The following is a 9,433-nucleotide window of genomic DNA, read 5'->3' on the forward strand; positions in this document are numbered from 1 at the left end:
GAAGGTTTGTGGCAACCCTGCATTGAGCAAGTCTATCGGTGCATTTTTTCAACAGCATGTAGTCACTTTGTGTCACTTTATGTCCCTGTGTTAGCATTTTTTAACAGCATGTAGTACTCACTTTGTGTCTCTGTGTTAGCATTTTTTAGCAATAAAGTATCTTAAGATTAAAATATGTGCATTTTTTAGACACAATGCTATTGCACACTTAATAGACTATAGTAGGCCGGGCGCAGTGGCTCATGCCTGTAATCCCAGCACTTTGGGAGGCCAAAGCGGGCTGATCACAAGGTCAGGAGTTCGAGACCAACCTGGCCAACATGGTGAAACCCTGTTTCTACCAAAAATACCAAAGTTAGCCAGGCGTGGTGGCGCGTGCCTGTAGTCCCAGCTACTCAGGAGGCCAAGGCAGGAGAATCACTTGAACCTGGGAGGCAGAGTTTCAGTGAGCCGAGATCGAGCCACTGCACTCCAGCCTGGGCGATAGAGCAAGAGTCTGTCTCAAAATTAATAATAATAATAATAGACCATAGTATAAACATAACTTTTGTTGTTGTTGTTGTTTTGAGACAGAGTTTCACTGTGTCGCCCATGCTGGAGTGAAGTGGCGTGATCTCGGCTCACTACACCCTCTGCCTTCCAGGTTCAAGGGATTCTCCTGCCTCGGCCTCCCGAGTAGCTGGGACTATAGGCACGTGCCACCACGCCTGGCTAATTTTTGTATTTTTAGTAGAGACAGGGTTTCACCATGTTGGCCAGGCTGGTCTCGAACTCCTGACCTCAGGTGATCCACTCACCTCAGCCTCCCAAAGTGCTAGGATTACAGGCATGAGCCAATGTGCCCGGCCTAAACATAACTTTTATATACACTGGGAAACCAAAAAACTTGTGTGACTCACTTTATTAGGATATTCACTTTATTGTGATGGTCTGGAACCAAACACAAAGTATCTTCCGGGTATGCCTGTAATTCATGATGTGGATTTTAAAGTAAAGACTCTTATGACCATGATACCAGTATCACAGCAAACAAAACTCATAATACCTTAATAGTATCTAACACTCACTTCCTATTCCTACTTCCTCGATTGTCTCAAAAACATCTTTTTACAGCTTGTTGGTTCAAATCAGTGTACAAACAGTATCCACACATGGCTAGTGTGTTTCTAAGACTTGTAAAATACGGAATCCATGAGAACTTTCACAACTTCCCCATGCCATTCGCTCTCCCATCTTGGGGTGGTCTGAGAGTAGCAAGTGTTTTTACAGCCTGCAAACCCTCTGTAACTGTGCTCCCGTGAATGTCCATTTCCTGCCTGGCCCGGAGCAGGCACTGAGACTGTGTGGGCACCACGTGCTGCTGGAAAAGCAGCAGCCCCAGGGCCCGGAGCCCAGAGTGGCCGGAGATGTGAAGACAAGGGAGGGATGTGTAGAAATGCCGGTGCCCACAAGAGGCGGCTGCAGGGTGTGGACAGTCCTGGCTCCATAGTTGGGCTGGCCAGGGCCGAGCCTTGACTCCCTGCGGCTTCGAGCCTCTGGCATTCTCCTCTTGCATCAGACGGAGGCAGCTGGCACTCTCATACACTGCTGGGGAGAGTATCCATGGGTACAACTTTCTTTTTTGTTTGTTTGATTTTTTTGAGACGGAGTCTCACTCTGTCATCCAGCCTGGAGTGCAGTGGCGCGATCTCAGCTCACTGCAATTTCTGCCTCCCAGGCTCAAGAGATTCTCATGCTGGGATTACAGGCATGCACCATCATGCCTGGCTAATTTTTGTATTTTTAGTAGAGACGGGGTTTCGCTATGTTGGCCAAGCTGGTCTCGAACTCCTGGCCTCAAGTGATTGTCCCACCTCGGCCTCCCAAAGTGCTGGGGGTACAACTTTCTAGAGAGAAATTTGGTAGTATATATGAACGACCTTAAAATGTCTATTTTCTGACGCATTATTCTAATGGGATAATGAACAACTGGGCAAAAAATATTTGAGATGTTCACCTGGTGCTGTTTATACTTAGCAAACGTTGAAAATAACCCACATCCCTCAATAGGGACGGGTTACGTGAAGAATGGAACATGCCCACCAGGAAAGGTCACGCAGCCCTGAGACTCAGACACAGGTTATATTGCTAAGCAGAAGAAGAGGGCTACAGCAACGTTGTTGTATTGCATAATCCTCATTGTGCTCTTGCTTTATTTTTAACAGCTTTACTGAGATATAATTCACTTACATACAATTCACCCGCTTAATGTGTATAAAATAGGGAGTGTTGGTGAGTGGGTGCGGTTTTGTTAGACAGGGGAAATGTGTGCTGGAGACCTCAGGTACAGCATGTGTGTACTGAAAAATTGCTAAGAAAGTAGATCGCCAATGCTGTCACCACAAAAACAAAACAAAACACCACAAACCCCAATAACGGTGTGAAATGACAAACAAAACACCACAAACCCCAATAACGGTGTGAAATGACAAACAAAACACCACAAACCCCAATAACGTGTGAAGTGATGGATATGTTAGTTGGTTGGTGTTAGTCGTCTCATGATGTCTATCTGTATCAAAACATCACACTGTATGCCACAAATATGTACAATGTCCATTTGTCAATTATGCCACAGTAAAACGGGGGAAAAATAAGGTGTATGATTCAGTGTCATCTAGTACATGACCAGAGTCGTGCGGCCTTCATCACCATCAGTTTGAGAACATTTTCATCATCCTCCAACCAAAAAAGATGGGGAACCTCTGAATCTGGAGGGAAGGCTTCTTGACCGTGGTGTTCTGGAAGCAGAAAGGCTGGCCCCTTGCCTGGGAGAAGCAGCGTGGTTTCCCTGTCCTGCCTGCAAAGTGGCTAGTGGCAGGCCTGTAAGCAGGGCCCGGGAATGCTGCGCGTCCAGGGGGCCATGGAGGCTTGTGCCAGGCCTTTGTCCTGGAGCCCTCATAGGCTGGACAGGACCACACCTACAGAAGTGTAATGAGCTGGACCTCCCTTCCCACCAGCAGCTCCTCTCAGGAGTCCCTGGTGCCTCCCCCATCTGCCCAGGCTGCTGAGTTGGGGTCACGGGCCTCTTGGCACCAGCCTGTCTGGCTAGTCTGCTCCTTGGCAGAGAAGTCAGGGCAGGGAGAACAAGGGGCTCTGTGTCCTCTAGGGGTGCAAACTGCCCCACATCACGATCTCAATCAGTGGAGTGAAATGATTTGGACCGTCTCATGAATCTGCAGATGTTGGTGAGCAAAAATAACTGAAAACAAGCCAGCATCCAGACTCCCAGCCTTCCAGCCTGGCACGTCCCAGTGGTGCAGGTGCATAGATGGAGTCACAGCAGAGATCCTGATGGCAGGGGCCACTTTCCTGGAAGGGACTCGCCAACCCTGTCTTGGCGCCCGCTGACCCTAAACATAGGCAGGTCACAGTGACTGCCCACTCGGGGGTCCTAGATCCTGACTATCATGAGACTTCATGCCAGGTGCCTCTATACCTGCTGTCTGGAAAACCATTTGAGGTGCGACACTGTTCTCTCATGGGCCAACAAGAAGATCCCTGGCCGGGCGCGGTGGTTCACGCCTGTAATCCCAGCACTTTGGGAGGCCGAGGCGGGTGGATCACGAGGTCAGGAGATCGAGACCATCCTGGCTAACATGGTGAAACCCCGTCTCTACTAAAAATACAAAAAAATTAGCCGGGCGTGGTGGCGGGGGCCTGTAGTCCCAGCTACTGGGGAGGCTGAGGCAGGAGAATGGCGTGAACCCGGGAGGCGGAGCTTGCAGTGAGCCGAGATCATGCCGCTGCACTCCAGCCTGGGCGAGAGTGAGACTCTGTCTCAAAAAAAAACAAAAGAAAAAATTCTTGTAGTCTGTGACTGCGGTGCCTCGATGGATCACAGTGATGGGCCCCAAGAGCTCCACTGAGCACAAGGCTCTCCTGCCTTCTCCCAGCTTCTGTCCCCTGACTCTGAGTCTAGCCTGGAGTCCCGCCGAGCACAGGCCTCAAGCCTGTGGGGCAGAACTCACCTCAAATCAGCTGAAGCAAAAAAGAAAGGAAATGTACTGTTCCCAAGTGGGTCCAGGGGCTCAGGCAGTTCTTCCTGGTGCCACCTGCCGTGCCTAGGAGTAGAGGGTCACTGGAGCCAGTCTTGATGCTATGCAACTGGGTGAAAAAACTCAAAGTGGTGCCAGTCAAAAGGGGACTTAATTAGTTCACATAACTGAAAAATTCATGGGCAGGTGCAGGCACAGCTGGATCCAGACACTCGGATACTGAGGTCTCCTCCTGTCTCCGTCTCTCAGCTCTGCTTTTCTCTGTGCTGCTTTAGGTCGGTTTTCTTTGCCTGGTGGCCCTGAAGGTTCCAGGCTTGTATCCTACTGACTTAGCAACCCCAGTGGACAGCAAGCGCCCATCCCCAAAAGTTCAGAGGAAGAGCTGGGATTTCCTCAGGTTGTGTTGGGAATCATGCATCCCTGAGCCAGTCACTGTATGGTCACTACAGGTCTGGGCTTCACACCCATCGTGGGGTGGGGTGGGGTGGGCTGGACATCTCCCAGACAAATCTGAGGTGCTGTTAACAGACCAAGGCATGGACGATGGGTTGTAAACAACTTGTTTTTTTTTTTTTGAGACCGAGTCTTGCACTGTTGCCCGGGCTTGAGTGCAATGGTGCGATCTCGGCTCACTGCAACCTCCACCTCCCATGTTCAAGCAACTCTCCTGCCTCAGCCTCCCGAGTAGCTGGGATTACAGGTGCACACCACCACGCTCAGCTAATTTTTTTGTATTTTTAGTAGAGATGGGATTTCACTATGTAGGCCAGGCTGGTCTCGAACTCCTGACCTCATGATCCGCCCACCTCAACCTCCCAAAATGCTGGGATTACAGGCATGAGCCACTGCGCCAGGCCTTGAGCCACCGTGCCCAGCCTGTAAAAAACCTTTTGTCCATCACAAATGTGTAAGAGTCGGCCTGGGCCAGTGGGAGGGACGTCAGGGCAGTCAGGGCCAGGCGGAAGGGAAGTGTGTAGGGAGGGGAGCCCAATGGGTTGAAGTAGGAACCTCATGGGGTGCTGCAGGTGGAGCCCGGGAGCCTAGGGTGTGGGGCCCACAGATAGGGCGGGCTGGGCAGTCCTTCCCCATGCCCTCCATTGTGGGAGGCTCAGCGGAGGGCCTTACACAGAAGTGACCTGGAGGGACCTGCACTTTAGGAAGATCCCTGGGGCAGTGGGATGCTGGGTGGGCGGGAGGCTTCAGGGGAGCACAAACGGTCCCAGAGCTGCTGGGGAGGGGAGGGAGGGAAGGAAGCGTGGCATGCCCCATGGATCCAGCCCTGGAGGGCACCAGGAGCGCCGAGGCTGGCTTTCAGAACAAAGGCAGCAGCAGGCTGGGGAGGTGAGGAACATGGTTGCGCCTGGTTGGATAGGTGCCAGTGGACACCCCATTCTGCAGTGGAGAGGTACATGGGCACTTGGATATGTATCTGGGGCTTAGAGAAGGAGCTGGGCTGGAGGCTGGTCAGAGTCGGGGGACCTGGATGGGAAGAGGTGGAGGGCGGGGACGGGGAAGATGCAGAGGAACCCGTGCCAGGAGGCCTGATCTGCACTCAGGTGCCTGCTCCTGCTGGCCTGTGACTTTGGGCAAGCCCCCACATCTCCTGGAGCCTTGATTTCCTCATCTGTAAAACGGGGCTGGGAAGGCCTAGCTCCCAGGCAGTCATGAGGACAGAAGAGAACAGGCTCTGCAAACTGCGTGGCACAGCGTGCATGCTCAGAGGACAGTGAGGAAGCCTGCAGGCAGGGCAGGGGCCAGGCCAGAGAAGGTCCCAGAGCCACAGCTCAGGGAGGGGCAGGCTGTCCATGGGGAGGGGCAGCTGCTTCTGGTTCCCTGTGAGCTAAACTCAAGTGTCCCTGGTGGAGTCCGATGGGTGCGGCTCAAGCTGGGGAAGGACGCTCCGTCAGTGGGGGTTCTGCAGCGGGGTCACTGCCAAGAACAGCTGCAAAGCCACCCTGGCGGTGGCATTCAGAGCCTTCATTATTTTCTTCAGAACACACAGCTGGGAAATAAATGATCACTGGCTGCAAGGATGGGTGTTGGCCAGATGGCCTTTCTGTCACCCCTCCCAGCTAAAAGGGATTTTGGGAAATTGTCTTGTCATCGGATGAGGAAAATGAGCTGTGTGCTGCCTGTTTTCAGATCGCGAGTGAGTCAGACAGTGGTGGGGCTACAGAGAGTCTCAGGCCTTTGGACCAATCCACCCACTGGACAGATGGGAGAGGGGCCCGAGAGGCTGGGCGCCTTGTGTGGATCATCCGGCAGGTCAAGGGCCCTCGAGGTGGCCACCAGCTGGTGCGGACTCCTGCCTTCAGGTGGAGCTGCACTCCGGGCTTTGGCATGAGCTCCAGGCCACCAGCTGGTGCGGACTCCTGCCTTCAGGTGGGACTGCACTCCGGGCTTTGGCATGAGCTCCGGCACCCCCTAAACTTGCCTGCGGCCCACTTAGGGATGCTTTCAGAGGGGCCCACCGTATCCTGGAGTCGTGGTGTGAGAGGTTTTGCGTGTGTGTGTGCGCACGCAAAGGGGGAGCTGGAGGCCGGGCATGTGTGATCTCCAGGGCCACGAGTGGTATGTGAGCTCCATTCTCTAATGGCAGGGAAAGTGGATAGCACAAGAAACTGCTGCTCCTCTTCCAGGCCTTGGCGGTTGCTGTTTCCCCGGCCTGAAGGCTTCCTCCCTTCCCAGGTGGCTCTTGTCCCCACTTCAGAGAAGCCTTCCTGACTGCTCCGTTGACAGCAGTCACCTAATTCAACCTGGCTACTTGCCTGACGCCCAGACCCTGCCCAGTGCCCCTGGGGTGCCCCCTTGCAGGCCAAGCCGCAGCTTCCATCACCAGGCCTTAGCCAAGCTTCCATCCTGTTTCCAGCTCCCTCTGGGAGGACCCTGGCTGGGCGAGCAGGGCCTTAGTAACCTCCCTCCTAGAGGAAGGGACAAGCTGGGGGGCCAGGGCTGCCCCTGGGATCTGAGGAGTGGGGTTGGGCAGAGGCAATCAGGTGTCTTACTGGGCCTGAGAGGGCGACTGCACAGCCTCATTCCTCCGCTACCAACCACTGAGACGGTGCAAAGCTCAGGCCTGGGCTGAGAAGCAACTGCCCAGCAGGCGCTTCCCCCAGAGAGCTCCATTTCTGTGGCCTCCCAGGCATGGCCTCCATACCTGGAACCCTCTCATGGCAGGGAACAGGGCTGCTTTGAGCCTGCTGGGTTAGGGTTTGGATCTCTGCTCTGATCCCAAGGCTCTTCATTGCTAGCTCAGCTCTCTCCAGACATGTGGACTCACATGTGAAATGGGAATTATACTCCAGCTCAATAACTTGTGAGGATAACATAAGAGAAGGTAACAGGAATGTTCATAAAATTCTATAGTAAATTTAAGTATTTTCAAAAAAAATAGAAATCAAGCAAAAATATTTTTCTGGTTACAATAAGAGGATAATTAAAAAAAAAAAATCTCTGCCAGGCGTGGTGGCTCACGCCTGTAATCCCAGCACTTTGGGAGGCCGAGGCAGGTGGATCACGAGGTCAAGAAATCGAGACCATCCTGGCCAACATGGTGAAACCCCGTCTCTACTAAAAATACAAAATTAGCTGGGCGTGGTGGCGTGTGCCTGTAGTCCCAGCTACTCAGGAGGCTGAGGCAGGAGAATCACTTGAACCCAGGAGACGGAACTTGGAGTGAGCCGAGATCATGCCACTGCTTTCCAGCCTGGGCAACAAGAGCAAAACTCTGTCTCAAAAAAAAAAAAAAAAAAACCAAAAAAAAAAAAAAAAGAAAAAAGAAAAAAAAATAAGCCTAGAGCAGAAGAGGACATTAGAACTGAAACTGTGGGCCAGGCGCGGTGGCTCATGCCTGTAATCCCAGGACTCTGGGAGGCCGAGGTGGACGGATCATGAGGTCAGGAGATGGACACCATCCTGGCTAATGTGGTGAAACCCCGTCCTACTAAAAATACAAAAAATTAGCCGGGCGTGGTGAAGGGCGCCTGTAGTCCCAGCTACTCGGGAGGCTGAGGCAGGAGAATGGTGTGAACCCGGGAGGCGGAGCTTGCAGTGAGCCGAGATCGCGCCACTGCACTCTAGCCTGGGCGACAAAGCGAGACTACAACTCAAAAAAAAAAAAAAAAAAAAAAGAACTGAAACTGTGTAAGAACGTGTATATTAAAACCTATAAGGTGCGGGATGCATACACAGTGGTATTCACAGGAAAGTTCATAGCCTAAAAACATCTTTTAGAAAATATAAAAGAAGAAAACTCCTTGCAAGCAGGGCTTTTTTTTTTTTTTTCTTTTCTGTTTTGTTCACTGATATATGCCAAGTGCCTAGAGCCGAGGAGGCGGAAGAAGCTGAGGAGGACAGAATGGGGCAGGCTCTGTGGTCAGGAGAGGAGGAGGAGGCTGCTGGAAACTTTGAGGACTGAAAACTCAGGGCCAGACTAGATAAGGGCCATTGTGGCTGGTGCCAGCTGGATATTACGAACAGAGAACAAGATCGTCCCCCAGACCAACCTAGTGCTTTCTACATAGGGTCACCGCATAATTTCCTGTCTAAACCAGGGACTCTGAGAGTAAAGAGGTGTGTTGTTTGTAACCATGCCAAGACAACAGAAGTAAGCTGGGACTGTACCCCACAAATCAGTTGTGAGGCCACTTTATTCTCACGAAATCCCAGAGAAGGCAGGGGCAGATATGTGTGACGCATGTGTGTGTGAAACCCTGAACTAATGGAGATAACCAGAAAACTGAAATTGAACTCCATCCTGGTGGAATGGGGCACAAAATTCAAATTAAACTTAGTTGTAGGCTTAGTTATGCTGGCTCATGCCCGTAATCTCAGCACATTGGGAGGCCGAGGCAGGAGAATCACTTGAGCCTGGGAGTTTGAGATCATCCTGGGCAACACAGCAAGATCCCATTTCTACAAAAATGAAAAATGAGCTGGGCATGGTGGCACATGCCTGTAGTCCCAGCTACTCAGGAGACTGAGGCAGGAGAATTGCTTCAGTTAGGAGTTTGAGGTTGCAATGAGTTATGATCAAGCCACTGCCCTTGAGCCTGGGCAACAGAGTGAGACTCTTATCTCCGAAAAAAAATAGTTATAGAAAAAAATAAGCAGTTACATTTTATATTCCTGCAGGATACAGGTGGCACCCTCAAAATAGGTAGTTTGAGAAGATGTTAGTAGAAGGTGTGTGAAGGTGAGGACAGGGTGTGAGGAGAACACAGGCAGTACTCTGGTGCTAGTAACAGCAGGGAACCGTTACTGTTTCTAGGCCAGAAGGAGCAATGGGAGAGAGAAGTTTCTGGAACTCTGAGGCTGAAAGGGCTGTGTGGAGTTTGTCTGATAGAAGCTGTGACCTTCGGCTGTGGGACGCAGGAGGCCCTGCAGGAAGGATTTTC

General features: G+C 51.8%; 1 annotated feature.

The window, feature by feature from the left end:
• Positions 5,201–5,702: an enhancer, noted in NCBI's record as "H3K4me1 hESC enhancer chr5:179797271-179797772 (GRCh37/hg19 assembly coordinates)". NCBI's record gives its function as "activates a minimal SCP1, AML or CMV promoter by ChIP-STARR-seq in naive H9 embryonic stem cells {active_cell/tissue: H9 hESC(naive)}" and the evidence as "EXISTENCE:reporter gene assay evidence [ECO:0000049][PMID:30033119]".

The sequence above is a fragment of the Homo sapiens genome, chromosome 5 (assembly GCF_000001405.40).
Source record: "Homo sapiens chromosome 5, GRCh38.p14 Primary Assembly".
NCBI lineage: Eukaryota > Metazoa > Chordata > Mammalia > Primates > Hominidae > Homo > Homo sapiens.